Below are 16,473 nucleotides of genomic sequence, written 5' to 3' on the forward strand. Positions count from 1 at the left end.
GGTAGACCAAGGGCAGGCCTGCCTGCAAAATTAGTGGAAAACTACACCCTGCTGCCCAGGTGTAGATAAGGAGAGATTGCACCAGGCTAGGCACAGCAAGCATTTTCAAGATCTGGAATCTGAACATTAGCCTGAATGAAACAGCTTGCTGGGTAACCTTTTTGCCTCATATGGTAGCATAAGTTGTTTCTGGTTGCTAATGTGGCTGGAGGTATGAAAGATAGTAAGCCCACACTTCTGGGCTCCCCTGACCTCCAAGACATCTCATTCTCTCCAGTTGCCAAGACCATCAAATTTATGATGTCTCTGGAAAACAAAGGAGGCAATGGACAGCTGCATCTGCCTTACCTCATGTCTATCCTTTGTACTGCTTACATGCAGCCTTGGAAGTAAATAAAATAAAGCATCTCTGAACTGAACTCAAAATGTCATTCTTGCCCATTCTCTCACCTAGACCAGACTCTAGTCTGACTGTATAAGGTGAAAGTGCTGCCAGGGAAGCTCTTGCTAAAAGCCATGTGTGGTCCATTAGTTCAAGATCTAGCCCCATCTAAATTGTCAAATATGTGGTAAGTGTGGATATTATATCTGCTGAGGTCAAGGGATTACTACCTCAATAGATTTTCAATTCTCTATTTTGGTAGGAAAACAATGCCCAATAGAGAGAGAGAGTGTGTGTGAGTGTGTGTGTGTGTGTGTATTGTGTATAATCAGTAGAAAGAAAACAACTAATCTGACTTAAAAGGTTTAAGAACCATCTAATTCCTAATAGGTGGAAATCTGTTCATTTATTATAAGCTTAAACTTCTCTTAGTCACATTAGACAGTAACAATGTGTCCCAAATCCCACCTGCTTGGCTTCTTTTTCCCCTCTAAATGTCTCTCCCTAGGCACCTTTACAAACCTCCAGGGCTCCTTACAACACAGTGTGAACTGACCCACCTTATGCAATATTAGTAAATTATAGTCCAAACTGGAAACTTATGAATATGAAAGGGAGCGCTATTAGTAATCAGGCCACACACATAATGGGGACTGTCCTGGGAAAACTGGGATTATATTTGCCCTTATAGATATGATAATCCAAATGTTTGACTGTCCAAGGCTCCTTCCAATAAGACCCTGTTCAGTCAACAGCCCCTGTTAGAGAGGCAGCTCTAGGCTCATGGTGACCCTGAGCCACCACACTGGACTTTAGTTGAGGTGGTAATAACCAAAGTTGGTAATAAGCCTGGGCTAGTGACTTTGGGAGACCCTGAGGAGGCTGGGCTTGACATGACGAGCCTGGTCAAGCAGATTCTCTCTTTGATGAATAAAAAATACTAACTAAAAGCCGTCGGGGGGCCAGTGATTCTATTTTTTCTGCCTCCACACGATTCACATGTGGAACATACTCTCCCATTGTCAGTAATATCTGTCATTATACTGCAACAATTCTCAACTGCTAGGGAGTGGGGAGGGAAAATGGCAATACATGAATCTCCAGCTATTCTACCAAAACTACGAATGTACACACCCTTGACCAGGTAATTCCAACTCTAGAAATTTATCCTTCAGATATAATTGCACACTCGTAAAATGATGTATGTCAAAATTATTCATTGCAGTAATGTTTTACTAACAAAATGTTGGCCAAAAAAATCCCTAAATTTTGATCAACAGGGAACTGATTAAATTATGGTACATCTATAAAAATGTAAACAATAATTGTACTAAATGGAATGACCTTCAAGATATATTAAGTGAAAAAAGGTATTAAGAATGAAACATTTGGAGAGGAGATCCACTGATTCAGTATTATCATGGAAATCTGTTAGAACCAAAGGCATACCCATGTCTTTTGCATGCTCTCATAAGCTTTCTAGTAGCTTTGGTGTTTATTAAAAAAAATTCCACTCCAAGAACTCCAAAATATGTGGTTGACCTCTTTCTGTTATTTCTGTTGTTTGAACCTACTTATGCAGTGAACAGAATTACCGCCATGCACAACAGAGAATCAGTCCTCCACACTAAGGAGAAAAATGTATTGATTTGAGGATTAAAATATGTGCAACAGCACATATTTTATTCATTTATTTCCTTATGATTTAAAGCAATTGTCAAGAAGCCTATATGCTTTTAGAGTGGTGGCCTGCTTTAAATGCTGGTATGTATTCTATCATAATTCAAGTATGATTTGGAGGGTTCAACAGTATTTTAACTGAACTGAGAACATGTCAAAATACAACTATAATTGGGAAAACTTTTGGGGAGAGTTTTTTACTTCTAAGCAGAAATGGTTCAAATATGATAGTGTACAATTGCTTGTTTACTTTTATGAAATGCTTCTCTCTGGCCTATGATGTTCTGTTACAACTTTGTTATAACCATTGTTGTCTACACACACACGTGCACACTACTCCTCCTCCTCCTCCTCTCCCACTTCCTCCTCCTCCTCCTCCTCCTACTACTTCTTCAGACATTTCTAAGATAATTTTTCTCCCCTAGGGGAAGATAAGACTTAAATGTTAAAAGGGGAATGAAAGATCATGGGATCTTTGCTAGAATTATAGAATATTTGTGGCTGAAATGGCTTTAGAAAACATTTGTCCAAAGATTTCATTTTATAGATAAGGAAACTGAGACTCAGAGAGGCCAAGTTACATATCCAAGGTCACACAGCTGGATGGTCAAAGGCAGGACTGGAATCCATTTCTCCTGACTCTCAGGTTGAAATATTGCAGATTCATCAGAGGGAGCAAGACTTAAAACAATTTATGAAAAAGGTGCCACTTTGAAAAGATGTTCCCTTGCTCCTGGATACCTTCTAATCCTTCCTCCATTTCCTTATCAGTACTTTTGGTTGAGACCCATAGCCCAGACTTTTCTGTGCCCTTTACCTGCTGCCAACTTCTCTTTTTATCTTCCCCCAACTCTACTCCAATTCTTAAGTGTACTGCTGCTTCTTCCTAGTAGGAAAATATTTTACAAACCTGCTCAGAACTCAAAGGAGGTCACTGGGAAATGGACTGCTTAATGCAAAAGACTAATGGTAGAAATGTAGACAGCAATGGAAGAGGAGCTTTTATGTTTTAAATTAAGTAACACAGGTTGGAAGGCGGGAGAGCTCAGTTGGTAAAGTGATTCTCAGCCTTTAAATAATGGTTTAAATGATGGTTTAAATAAACCATCAAGGCAGCAATCAACTGCCTAACTCTTCAACCATCTGTGTATAAAGTGAAGCTTAAAATCTATAGTAAATATGAGAACTATTATTACAGGATTGCCCTTTAAACCTGTAAAACAGCTAACATTTTCAAAGTCCTTTATAGTTTATAAGGCACTCACGCATCTATTATCTTCTTTGGGCCTTAACCATGTTAGCTCAGTGAGGCAATCCATGTTGTTATTTAGAGGTAAAAACAGAGGTTCAGAATTATAGAGATGTATTCAGAGTAGAGTCAAATCTAGGTTTGATTCTATAAATCTCATGTTCTTTTCACTTCACTACTTTATCCCCCAGGAAGCCTGACAGCTGACCTTCACCGTTTTAGAAATTATGGAAATTGCACCAAAGCAGTTTAGAAGGTTATATTAATATCATTTTAAGACATCATTTCTTGGGTGCTGTGACAGATGAGGTCAGAATGTGAGGCACACACATACATACTGGATAGAACATGGCTGGTTTTAGGTGGTTCAAATATGATAGTACCAGTTGCTTAGTTTTATTTTTATGAAATGCTTCTCTCTTGCACAAACACACATTGAGATTTTATTGATGAGAGAACTGATACCTGTGGGAAAGTGGGCTTCCTAATTTTAAACCCCAGTAGGAGACTTGCCTACCCAATCACAAGATCTGAAGAGGACTCCTTCTGCTCCTGTTCTCCTTAGGGCCTGGAAGAGCAAACCCGAACAAACATTCCCTTCAGACAGCTCAGTCCCCCAACACCCAAAAAAAAGAGAAGGGAAGGGGCTGGATTACTCATGCTGTTACTCTTTCCTAACTCAGATAAGTCACTCTCCCCTTGGGTAAAGTAAATGAGGCAACAAAGAGGAGCCAAGATTATTATGGTAAAAGAGCTCCCTACACACAGGAGAGACATCGGGAGTGGGAAGGCATGTTCCACCTTATTCTAAATTAGTGAAGGTTATAAGACTTAATGTTAGGTGAAACACTTAGGGTCTGGTATAGAGTCAGTAGTTGATTAATGGAAGTCTTTTAGTTTGAAATCTAGAGGCTCATTTCCGGTTCCAGCTCCTCCATTAACTTTGTGGTGATTCAGGGCAAGAGACCACATCTGTCCTGTTCACTGCTGAATCCTCAGACTAATACTAGTGCCTTGCATAGTACTGGCAATAATAATAATAGTATTTTAAAAATAAATTAATTATCCTGTCTGAATTTGTTTCTTCATCTATAAAATGAGGAATTTGATCTTCATGACATCTAAATTTCTTCATGGCTGTAATGATATGATTTTATAATAGTTAGAGAAACTCAGAGAGTCTGATACACCTCTGCGATTTTTCTAGTTTTTTAAAAAAGACAAAAGGATTTACTGCCAACATTGACATTTAACTTTTGTATATTGAATTCCAATATTCAGAAAGGGCAATTCAAGTAGAAAAGCAACATATGTATACTTCTCCAATAATGTTAGAGTTAACTATTTTTTTTGCTATCCCCCGAATATGCTGGTCAATTTTAGTGATAGTGTTAGCATTTTCTTTCATTTCTTAAAACTTAAAAAAAAACCTTTCATTTTGGGGAGATAAAAAGCTAGTCTCTATGAGTAACGTGTCCATAGGTATGCTGCTCTATGGTCTTTTCACTTCAAAAGTTTAGGGTTTTTAGGGAAAATTTATATTCAATGTTGCCAAACATTCAGGTAATTACTTTAGAAAATAATCCTTTTCTTGCCCATTGATCCAAAAAGCAAATCCATTTTCCAATTGTTACCATATCAGAGATTAGAAAAGGGATTCAAATGGTAATGTATCAGAGCACAAAGCTAGTAATTTGCCTAGTCTAGTCCAGATCACTTTTTTTTTTTTTGACTCTTGACTTTATTATTCAATTTCTTTTTTTCATTTAAAGTAGTCTTCTGTGGTTGGGAAGCCTCGCCTCCCAAGACCAGAGTCAGTTGGAGCTGGTTGTTGTTGGAAGGGAGTGGGTTGGGGAACTGGGGTGGGGGCAGGGAGACCCCTGCTCTGCTGGCGGTCCTAGGTGGAGAAGAAGAACTGCGCTTCACAGAGTCCGGGGTGTGGTGGGAAGGGGATGAGGCAGGAGCAGCAAGCTGGGGAGATGGGACCCACCTGTCCCCAGCTTCATTTTCTTCTAATGTTTCCCCACTGGCGACATTCTCTGCAGTCTTGGAGGCCTTCTTTGTTTTCTTTTTCTGGGTTTTTCGACTTGTAGAACTCTGGAGGAGGGCCTTTAGCTCTGCATCCTGGACCTCCATCTCAGACTTGCAGAGGTCAGGCTCGAAGGGACCACTGGTTATCCGCATGGGGCCACTGGGCATGAGCAGAACTGTAAATTTAAACTGGGCAACAAATTCACCCTCCTTCTCATAGAGAACATTAAATGGTTGCAGCAGTTCATGTTTGGCGCACTCCACCACACCCATCTGAGCCTTCTTCTCATCTTCAAATGCTCTTAAAGTAAACGGCATGGCATCAAAACGCGTTTCCACCTCACTGAAGAAGGCACGTGAAGTTTTCATTTTCAGTCCATACTGTTTAGAAGGGTCTTGTTTGTAAATAGTGGTTCTCTGTCCTGCATCCTTGGGCTTGCCCTCTCCTGAGCTGACAAGAACATCCACAGCATACACTTTATGTATGTCAAATTCAGCTTTTTCATGGTCCTTCTTCTGCTGGTCTGTGGGATTCTGGATAATGGTTTTTTCTCCATCAATGACATGCTGCTTCAACTGGTGTGACAGCATACCTTCTACTGGCGTGCAGTTAAATGAGTGGGCAACTTTGTTCCAGGCTTGTGTCACTTGTGTGTTCTGATTTCCAGGTTTGACCAGGCGTAGGGCAGCTTCAGCACAAAGGTGAGCTGCCTTAATAACATCTGCCTTCCTCCCTGTTACTTGGTCCCCTGAGCTACATCAACCACAAAAGTATGAGCTACATTAGCGATGAAGCCATCCACATGGACCCCAAGTTCAATTTTTACCAAGTCACCTTCCTTGAGAATATAATCCTGGTTGCTCTTCAAAGGGGAGAAGTGACATACACAGTTATTTACTGAAATGCTGGTGGGAAAAGCAATACCTTTCTTCATTTCCTTTTCTTTCTTGAAGATTTTCCCTGTTTCTTCCATAATCACGGCATCACCTTTCTCACACAGGCTCAGTACCGACACACCTGAGCTAGATGCTTCCACCAAGGACCGAAGTACCCCTGTTGGCGATGTCACCCTCCATCTTATACTTGGTCACGACCAGGTCCTCAGCGATAGTTTGCTCCTGCTGCTCATCCTTGCCCGACATCTTCCTACTACCACCACTGCAATCTCGTTTCCCCTGAGCCGCCGCTGCCTCTGTCTCCCTTCCCAGTCACAGGCTGTGGTCAGAGTCCCCTCCATCCTCGAGGAGAGGGTGAGGGAAAGCGCGAGCAAGCAAGGGAGCGAGCGGGCAGGCAGGCGAGAACGAGAAGCTGCTCAGATCACTTTTTAAGATGCCTTTGTGTCTTATTATCTTTACAGTTGGGATCTATAAACATGGGCCCTATTATCCACCATGCAGCTAGAAAGTTAACATGCTTCAGAACAGGGCATGCACAAAAGAGTAGAAGTTAGAATTTTTTCATTAGGAAATATAAAATTTTTATTTATATTTGAACATATTTACCAACAAAGGCAAATATCATAAATCTAAAATGAACAGCCTCAAAAGGCACAATGAAAAATACTGCATTAGCAATACTGAACTCAGCAACTCTGAAAGCAAAGGTTCTTCAAGACTCAGATCTCCTTTATGCCCTGCTGTTTCAGTTTGAAGTCTAAAAGACTATCTACTTTGTGTCTGACTTACTTTCCTGTCAGACAGGAACTGGAATTTGAACTTTGCTCTCTAAAAGCCAAAGGCCAACTAATTTAGAAGGAGACTCTCACAATCAATGATGGTTTATTCTAGTTTCATTAGTTCTGTCTAAAGTGATTAAAGGATTTGATTCCCAGATAAACATGATCCTTATTGCTATTTTTACAAACCACATTAATTTCTATACTTAGTTCTGATCACTTGTGGCATTCCTGAGACAAGTCTGGATTCATGTAGCATTCCAACCCTGAGTGCCTTTTCAAGTTTCCAACAGAATCCTGTGCTGGTAAGTGATGATACCTTTATTGTAGTAGCCCCAACGTGTGGAAGTTGTTTCCTGTGACCTAGACTCAGCCCAACCCCTCCACTTGTTGAAACATCTGCAAATACTTTGTTCATTTCAGAGACATCTGACCACAGCTACGCTCCCATCTGGATTGCTTCCTTTTTCCTTATTGCTCATGCAAAGCATCAATAATCTGGAAAGGCATTCAGTAAGAGAAACAGGGAGGGCCTAGGGATTAGAATGGGAGGTTAGTTCTTATGGCTTTTCTCTCATGCTCATTCATTAATTGATTCATTCAACCATCATCACTTATTGGGTAGTATGAGCAATGCAAATATCAATAAGCAGCAGTATCTGTCCTCAAACAGGGAACAATATATTGCATGCTACATTTATTGTTTCAGGTGGGGAATTATATTAATTTAGAGTAATAAACTATATTTACCAAGTATCTTCTATGAGTAAAGTTCCACAAATGCTTTAATTCTCTTATTTTTGGTAGATACAGTATTTATGGAATATTTTACTTAACATCTTTAATCTGTCTCCCCACCTTGAAACCACATAAAAGTAAAAGCAACACTCTCAAAAGCCTTTTGTAAATAATCATTAATTTAAAAATCTCATAGGAATCTTTACTTAAGTGAAATGACAAACTGCATAGTGCAGAGTAATAAGATTCCTTCATATGTTTCATTTTCTTTAGGCCTTTATGTTAAGCTACAAAATGAACTGTTTAACTATTGCTAGGAATAAACTATATTTTAAAAGGTGTTAATCCAGTTGGATCATTTTTATGCCCTTATAAGATATTAACTGCAAGTTTGTTTTATCATTTATATTATGCACACATTTGTACATTTTTAAAAGTTACATTTAAAAGGTTACATTTATGATAATCACATCATACAAAGATCTAATTAACCTGGAGTTGTTGAGCAATAATTGTACCTTCAAAGTGCCAGGAGATTTAAGGTGTATGCAGGGTGTGGCCCATCCACCCAGAATTTCAAAACCACATGGTTCTTCAGGTCCTGTTGGGGCTCATCTATTTGCACGTCTCCCCTGCAGGAGTTTGGACTAATCAGGTCACTACACCCTGACACAGCAGTCTCCAGTCTCTACCACTCATTGTTTGCAACATGACGTAATGTCAACAGACCACAGAGAAGTTAGCAACAGGGAAGGGAAAACACTTTAATCTCAAGGTCATCCCCAGGGTTCAGCAGGACATATATCCTATATCGAATCATCTGATATCAAATCCTACAAATGAGCTCGGCCAAAAGGTTGAGCCACGCTGTCTGACTGTATCATGTTCTCCAGTTGCAATGCAAGACTGAGGCAATCAGTTGTGAGCTGACAATTCTTCCTGTTTGCTAAAATTGAAAAGACAGGTTGTTGTCTATCATTGCTTTGCTTTCTTTTTGCTGCAAAACATTTCACACAGTATCATTATGCCTTAGCTAGTCTTCATTTATCTAGATATTAGACATCTTGGAAGCTGATAGGGCTTGGTTCACTTCTTCAGCCTTGGCTTCTCCTCATCCCCCAATGTTCCCTGTCTTGCAACTCATAGCAGAGCAATGCTATTAAATACAACAAGAAAATACATGCCAAAGGGCAGGTAGGGGTTAGATGCCTGAGAACTCTGAAGAAAAAGAGAGCTACTGTGGCCCCATGGTGCTTTTATTCAAGATGCCCCTATCTCGGGAGGATGCAAAACACCTGTGTTGGCAGATGAAGCTAGGTCTGGAGTTTTATGCCTACCTACCTCCTCCACCAGGCACCACCATGCAGTCAGCAAACTGCACGAGTGCCTATGACTCTGGTAAAACTTATACACATAGACTTAATATGATGGCAGAGAGAATTAAGAAACATGAGGCCAACTTTAGTGGGGAGAATGATGGGAAGCAAAGTATTGTATGCTTTTGTCTTATGATTTTCTTAACAGGAGACTTTGATGAAGGACTGGTATCTGCCTTCTGATTCCAGTTAAAACTGCCTACCACTGTTCTGCCTTCAACTCCCTTTCCAGAAAGCCCCTCTGTCATTACTTTTCCAAACCCTCTTAAGGACCCTCTACCAAGAGCTTAGAACAGGAAAGGGTTTACGCAAAGATGTGCACAGTGCATTACTATTCCTAAAGTAATGTGCATTAAATAGAGACCAAAAACATTTAAACATTAAGTAATCAGTTTTGTCTGTTATCTGTTCTATCTCCAATGCCTAGACCAATGTCCGATACACAGTGGAGCTCTTAATATATTGATTATATCGCTAGACTTTCATTCACTCGGGAATAGACAATTATACCAAGAAGGTCCCTTATCTTCAAGATTCCACGCATCAAGTTTAGAAAAGTCACCAAAAGTTTGTTTTCTCCTACGCACTTCATACACCAGAGGTCTCCGCACTCAGAAAATACCATCACCACAAATACTACTGTAATAGTATTTAAGTATATAATAGTATATTAATACTATTATTATAGTATTATACATATTACTAAACACTATTATATCATTATTAATTAAATATGCATATTATTAGTTAAGTATAGTAGTACTGATTAAACTTCCATTGCACATCATGAAATATTGGTCCAATGACAAATATTCTATAAGCCAAATATTTTATATAAAGGTGTGCAGCCTCCTACACTGTATTTCAGTACTTGATGGACTACATACAAATGAAAAAAATTGGTGGCACTACTGTATTTAAAATCTATACTTTTGTAATTTTACATGTGGGTTGTCCTAACAGTGGTGTATTATTTTATAATAGTTGAACATATCATCCTCCTCCAAGGATCTCGAAGCACCTGCAGTAAGTAAGGAATAGCTCCCTTCATACCTCTGCCAAGGTAGGTATGTTGTAAGCATTATTTCTACCATACCAAGATCACACATGAGTCAGTGGCAGGGCTGGCACTACTCCCTCATGACACTTCAGTTCACAGGTCTAACCATTAGAGTACTGCCTATACATTAATTCATTCCTTTCTTCATTCATAATATTAATTTGATGCAGTTTGCTAGGCACTAAGGATCAACTCCTTATTTCCTACTGAACTCACATTATATGAACATTACGATTTGTAAAATAAATAAATAAAGTAAAATAAAATAATTCTGGTCTGGGCATGGTGGCTCATGCCTGTAATCCCAGCACTTTGGGAGTCCCAGGTGGGAGGATCGCTTGAGCCCAGGAGTTTGAGACCAGCCCAGGCAACATAGGGAGCCCTTATCTCTACAAAAAATAAAAAATTAGCGCGGCGTGGTGGCGCACCTCTGGTCCCACCTACTGGAAAGGCTGAGGTGGGAGGATCGCCTGAGCCTGGGAGATAGAGGCCGCCATGAGCCCTGACCACCCCACAGCACTCCAGCCTGATCAACCAAACAGACTTGTCTCAAGAGAAAAAAAAAATCTGATAAAAATTTTAAATTCACAACAGAGATTTTTCTGTACCTGGTGATTAATCCTAATTGTTTTATAGTAACTAACATACCTATCAGTGAGCCAAATGTATACTAAGGAAATGACTGAAATACAGAATTTTAAAGATATATGCTCTTACGGCCAGGCGCAGTGGCTCACGCCTGTAATCCCAGCACTTTGGGAGGCGGAGGCGGGCGGATCACGAGGTCAGGAGATCGAGACCATCCTGGCCATCGAGAAACCCCGTCTCTAGTAAAAATACAAAAAAAAAAAAAAAAAAAAGCCGGGCGTGGCGGCGTGCGCCTGTAGTTCCAGCTGCTGGGGAGACTGAGGCAGGAGAATGGCATGAACCCTGGAGGCGGAGCTTGCAGTGAGCCGAGATCGCACCACTGCACTCCAGGCTGGGTGACAGAGCAAGACTCCGTCTCAAAAAAAAAAAAAAAAGATATACGCTGTTACGTTATAGATGTTATTCATGTGTCTGTCTCTAACATGAGGCTTTTTGATGCTTGCCCACACAGCTAATACTTGCGTTTTCTGTGTCTAATTAGAAGTTTCCGCTGGGTATTATTGTTGAGTTGGTATAAGATGTTCAAGACCATGAAAAGATGAATGTAACAGCTTCCTCATGGACTGATTTTTTTTTCAGTTCATCTGTCCTTTTAAGTAATCTGGCTGTTTGTACCCTGACTTTAACTGAATTCACAATTATTCCTCTTGCCAAACCATGCTTCCAGACTTGACTGTATAAATTAAATTTCATGCACGCATATGTGAGCCGTGTGTACTGCCTGTTAAACTAAGTAATATAAACAAATTGAAGGCACATTTGAATGACCTTTGAATTCCGTGTTAGAGTAGTTTTTAAACAGTTATCTACTGGGCAAAGTGTAAGAGACAACCATTTACAGAGGTTATTTTCAGTGTGCTTCTTGAAAACCCATTTGCTCATAGAATTCAGCCTCCTAATCATGCAAGTTGCATTTTGTATGGTTTTCTTCTCTGGCTCCCCACCCTCTTAGAATAGTTCTGACGCCCCCACCGGCGACCACCTGGAAGGGGCTGATCCACCCCCACCTCCCTCTGCGAAGCGCGGAGCGGCTGCGGCCACCCGGCCAGAGCCAGCGCTGAGCTGCGCTGCGCTGCGTGACTGGCTGCATTTCTCAGCCCCGACGGCTGTGGTTACTCAAACTGATCTCATCGCAGGTCGTCACGACACGCGCTTCCCCTCGCCTGCACGCGGCGTGGCGTGAGAGGGGCCCTGGCAGCCGGCGCGCCCACCCCTGATCCTTCGAGGCCCACGATGAAGCCCATCCTACTTGCAATAACGGCCCCGTTCTCATTCTTCAAAAGACGGCTCCCAGACGTCAACAAAGAATCTAACCTACACAGCGCCGGCCCTCGCTCCTTTCAGCCTCAGCGAGCGCTGCCCTTCATTACCCCCCAGCGCACTTCTGGACACTGCGCCGGGTCGCCGGGGTCAGCCGCCCGGCCACGAAAGTCGCCCCCAGCGTGCCCCAGGCGTCAGTGCACGCCGGGCTCCCGGCTCCAGGCAGGCGGGGTGAGGCAGCTCCGCGAAGGCCACTCGCTGGCGACCCCTTCCCGGGTCTCCTAGCCCTGGCCGGGCTGCCCCCGCGCCCGCCCCCGCCCTCGAAATCCAGGCAGTGCGGGAGGCCGCCTTGCTGCTCTCTCCGCCCGCACAGGGCCGCCCGACGGAGCGGGCAGGGAGCAGGCGCCAAGGAGGCCGAGAGGGGCCCAGGGGCGAGGTCGACTCTCAGCCCGCTGTCCCCTTATCCCACGTTTCGCAGCCTGAGGTGTTTGTTGTATATCGGGAACTGACACTTTTCGGCGTTAAAATGAGGGCGTCACCTGCTCGAACTAAAGTCGGTGGAGGGCGTCTGGAGCCGGGCGGAATCTGGGATGCCTCGCCGGATTACGCGGCGGGGTCGGCACGCGAGGCAGGCTCCGGGCGCACCAGGAAGCCCGAGCGTGCACTAAAGCGGCGGAAGCAGGCAGCGGGGGCGGGGCCGGCGGGCTGCAGGCACGCAGGCGGCGCGGCGGCCTGGGGTTGCGTGACCTGCCGGGCTGCGGTCGCACGCACTTCGTGCTTCAGGCGGCCGTCGCCGGGCGGGAGGTGCAGGTGCTGGAGGGCGGCGCCCGGCTTCTACTTTCAAAACACCGCCGGGGAGGGCAGTCACGCTATATTTCTGGGACAGGGAGTGAGTTCACCGGGGGAGGACACAGCGTCCCCTTGTTATCACAACGTGGGTAACATTCGGTAATAAAACGCGCTCGGACAGGATGTATTAAACGAATTGGGAACCGGAGCTGCTCTTTCCATAAGCAATCAAGCTGGGGAAACTTTACAAGGAAAGCTTTAAATTGCGATGCATGGCGCAGGAGTGTGGTTCGTGTGACATGCTTACAGAGAAAGGAACCAGAGCAAGGACGGTGGCTTTGGGACGAAATTTCTGTCCGCTCTGCACAAAGACTAATTACAGAGTCGTGATTTGGGGCATGCTCTCATTCCTCCCGGAAGCTTTCTTTGCAGTGTTTTATTTTAAAATCAGAGGTGGTTGATCTCCCTGGCATACGAACATGAGAGACCTCATTTATATGGTGACTCAAAAGCCCCAAGGACATAAAAAAGGTGCCACGTTTTAAGACACCAGAATCTAAGTTCCTTCTCAAGATCATGTGAGCAAAAAGTGTTTTGCCCGCACAGATATCTATTTACATAATTAAAATGTTTGTAGATTTGCAGATAAATCAAGTTTAGAGGACAAAACAAAAAATGTTACCACGATAGTTTTTAACACAAGAGCACCCCAGTCAACTGAAAGCTTGGGAAATTCCACATTAGTTTATTTTCTATGTACTTAAACTTTGATTTGGTGAATCTATGCTCTCTTATTTCCCTATTATGACTCTTAGGCCTATAGTGCCTAGTTACACACACATTTGTTTTTGTGATACATGTAACATTATAGGAAAGGGGGGATTCTCTAGGGTTAGAATAGACACAATAAACTCCTAGGAAGCTTTCTCAAAAATACATATTCTCATCTCAGCTTACCATATGTGGGAAAAGGCAGCAAGATTCACTGTTTAATTTTAAAATGTTCTACCAGCTGACTGATTCTCACGTGGGATTTTTTTTTTTTTTCCTGGTCTGCCCAGCACGCTTAATTTCTTCTGGGACAGAACTGCCTACCCTTCCTGCCTGGATTGTGCTTCTGCCTTTACTCTTCTAGAATGTAGTTAGAAAGGGAGGTGTCATTGTGTGTGGCCTTGCCTACTTGGTCCCCACACTTGGTCGAGAGGCATATACCTGACTCAAGGTAAGCCAATGACAAACAGCACTTGACTCCTCCTGGCCTTAGTAATTTGGTTAAAGAGATTGCATATCATCCAAGTTGTGCCAAAGAAAGTCATTTCCTGGCAATTTTCTAACAGGAGGGTGGGCATAGATGCCTTCTCCCCAGTTCCTTTTGGTGACAAAATTGGACCGTCAGCCACCACTGCTCTGCCATGTGCAGAGACTGCCAACAATAAAAGAAAATGGAACCAACTTTCATTAAGTGGTAGATTCTAAGGGCTGAGCCTTTTTATGGCTTTTGCAAATTCCACATTGCATATCTGAGGTTCTCAAAGCAATACTGGCTCCTGCTTTCCTGAAACTTGATTGTTTACCTCTTCTGATTCTATGAGAAGAGATATGTATTTATAGAAATAATAAAATATACATTTAGAATGCTGTTTAGAATATTACGGTTTTTTTTTTTTGTAGTTATAACACAATTTTTAACTTGCTTTTTGTCACAGAACAATCTATTGGGACATTCAACCACATCAGCAAAGAACCACATCATCATTTCTAACAGCTGCACACTGTTGTTCGAGTAAATCAATGTATTTCACATTTTAGTATTTCCTGTTTTAAAACATTATAAGACTGTGGTGAACACTGAATATATGTGCTAATAAGAAAGAATTTTCCTAAAGCTTCCAGCAAACGTCTCTTGGAACTTCTAGTCATAATTGGATCATAGACGCATTCCTGATTTAATCACTGGTAAAGGGGAAGGTGCTAACAGAATTGATCTAATCTGAACTCACTTCTGGACTTGGGCTGATTCATGCATGCTTGGGGGTAGGACAGGGGGAGGGCAGTACAGAGGTCTGAATTCCTGAACAAAAGGAAGAAGGAGGATCATGTGTCAACTGTAATAGTTTTGAACATTTTAAGGGGTTTAAAACATAATAAATGTTCTAATTTTTCACCCCAACAGCAGTGTTTAAGATTGCTAATTGCTCTACATCATTGCAAACCAGGGCTACTATACTTATTTTAATATTTTTCATGTGGTTGATAGATCTCATAAAATGCTTGATATTTGATATCAGTAGTCCCTAAGAAAATATCTTTAAGATGATTTGGAACTCATTTAATGGCATTAAAAACACTATCAATGGAGGTAGAACAAAATGACAGAAAAATTTTTATACTTTGTTTCCTGTAAATTCAGTAGCTACTTAAAATAATAGGTATAGAAACATTAACTTCATCTTTACAAAGGGAGAATGAAATCACTTTTACCAATCGCTTATCAAAACAAATGTGAGTTGGAATCTTAGATTCTTCATTAGAATCCTATGAAAATCTCAGAAATGAAGCAATAATTTCACTAAACAAGCAAATAATAAACTACAAAAGTTGTTTTTAAGTGCATAAGGCAGTTACCAATTTTCAGTCTTTGAACTTATTAGCATTTATTAAGTGCTTATTATGGGCCATTTATTGGATGCTGAGTTTAATAAAAGGAACTTGGTTAATTTACATTACAGAATAAGAGCTATCAGTACCACATTTTTAGCATCAAATTCATTACAAGAGTGTTAAGTTAATGCCATTAGAGCTTTATTCTTTTTTTTTTTTTTTAATTGAGACAGAGTCTCACTCTGTTGCCCAGGCTGGAGTACAGTGGTGCAAACTCGGCTCACTGCCAATCTCCGCCTCCAGGTTCAAGTGATTCTCCTGCCTCAGCCTCCGGAGTAGCTGGGATTACAGGCACGAGCCACTGTGCCTGGCCTATTCTTTTTGTTTTTAAAAATATATTCATGTAATAAATACTAAGTTGTATTTGGCACATAGTACAGTTTCGGATAAAAAGCTCTTATCAGTGGTGAACTTGCCACAGGAAATACATTTATAATAATCAAAGGTTTCGCTGTAGTGGTTGACTAACTGTTAATATTTGAGGATATTTATCATTTAAAGGCCTGACTTGTCTCACTGGAAATTTTGTTCAATAATCATATTCTCAGGGCTAAAAAGAATTCAGCACACAATTTATTCCTGCACAGATGACAAAGCATTTGAACTAAAGAGAAATGCTATTTAAACATTGTGACATTTATTTTATTAGGTACTCAAGTTTACACTGTACATATAATGGATTTAAAAAGATACAGAGCTTAAACCCACAAATAGTATTTTGTGGTCTAAACCACCTCCAGACTAGAGTTATTTGTGGTTCAAAATATGCAAAGCAGCTATTTAAAGCAGTTTAAAACTTTAAATGTTAATAATGTTAATAGCAGTTTTAACAAACATGAAATGTTATTAAGAAAGAAAATCCAATCCACATCTTGGTGGGAACAAAATGTGTTGGGGTAAGTAAAACAAAGCAAGTGGTCCCT

General features: G+C 41.4%; 1 long non-coding RNA gene and 1 pseudogene across 2 annotated transcripts in view, besides 5 other annotated features; both read right to left on the reverse strand.

Annotated features, from left to right (window-relative positions):
* Positions 1-12,815, reverse strand: part of LINC00886 (long intergenic non-protein coding RNA 886) — a 69,720-nt gene extending 56,905 nt beyond the window's left edge. The window contains exon 1 of the long non-coding RNA NR_038387.1: positions 12,640-12,815. This is a non-coding gene — a long non-coding RNA (long intergenic non-protein coding RNA 886). The remainder of the gene's footprint in view (positions 1-12,639) is intronic.
* On the reverse strand, positions 5,024-7,774 carry PA2G4P4 (proliferation-associated 2G4 pseudogene 4; annotated as a pseudogene). The gene has a single exon (NR_003284.1). The product of NR_003284.1 is annotated as a proliferation-associated 2G4 pseudogene 4 (transcript).
* Positions 8,293-8,587: an enhancer, noted in NCBI's record as "tiled region #2365; HepG2 Activating DNase matched - State 5:Enh, and K562 Activating DNase unmatched - State 5:Enh". NCBI's record gives its function as "activates a minimal TATA promoter and a strong SV40 promoter by Sharpr-MPRA in HepG2 and K562 cells {active_cell/tissue: HepG2 | K562}" and the evidence as "EXISTENCE:reporter gene assay evidence [ECO:0000049][PMID:27701403]".
* Positions 12,269-12,598: a silencer, noted in NCBI's record as "silent region_14839". NCBI's record gives its function as "represses an Ori minimal core promoter by ATAC-STARR-seq in GM12878 lymphoblastoid cells {active_cell/tissue: GM12878}" and the evidence as "EXISTENCE:reporter gene assay evidence [ECO:0000049][PMID:35858748]".
* Positions 12,619-12,828: a silencer, noted in NCBI's record as "silent region_14840". NCBI's record gives its function as "represses an Ori minimal core promoter by ATAC-STARR-seq in GM12878 lymphoblastoid cells {active_cell/tissue: GM12878}" and the evidence as "EXISTENCE:reporter gene assay evidence [ECO:0000049][PMID:35858748]".
* Positions 12,619-13,912: a biological region, named in NCBI's record as "BRD4-independent group 4 enhancer GRCh37_chr3:156534749-156535948".
* Positions 12,713-13,912: an enhancer, noted in NCBI's record as "BRD4-independent group 4 enhancer chr3:156534749-156535948 (GRCh37/hg19 assembly coordinates)". NCBI's record gives its function as "activates an origin of replication core promoter dependent on BRD2, P300/CBP, MED14 and CDK7 cofactors, and independent of BRD4, by STARR-seq in HCT116 cells {active_cell/tissue: HCT116}" and the evidence as "EXISTENCE:reporter gene assay evidence [ECO:0000049][PMID:35650434]".

The sequence above is a fragment of the Homo sapiens genome, chromosome 3, assembly GCF_000001405.40.
Source record: "Homo sapiens chromosome 3, GRCh38.p14 Primary Assembly".
Classification (NCBI taxonomy): Eukaryota; Metazoa; Chordata; class Mammalia; order Primates; family Hominidae; genus Homo; species Homo sapiens.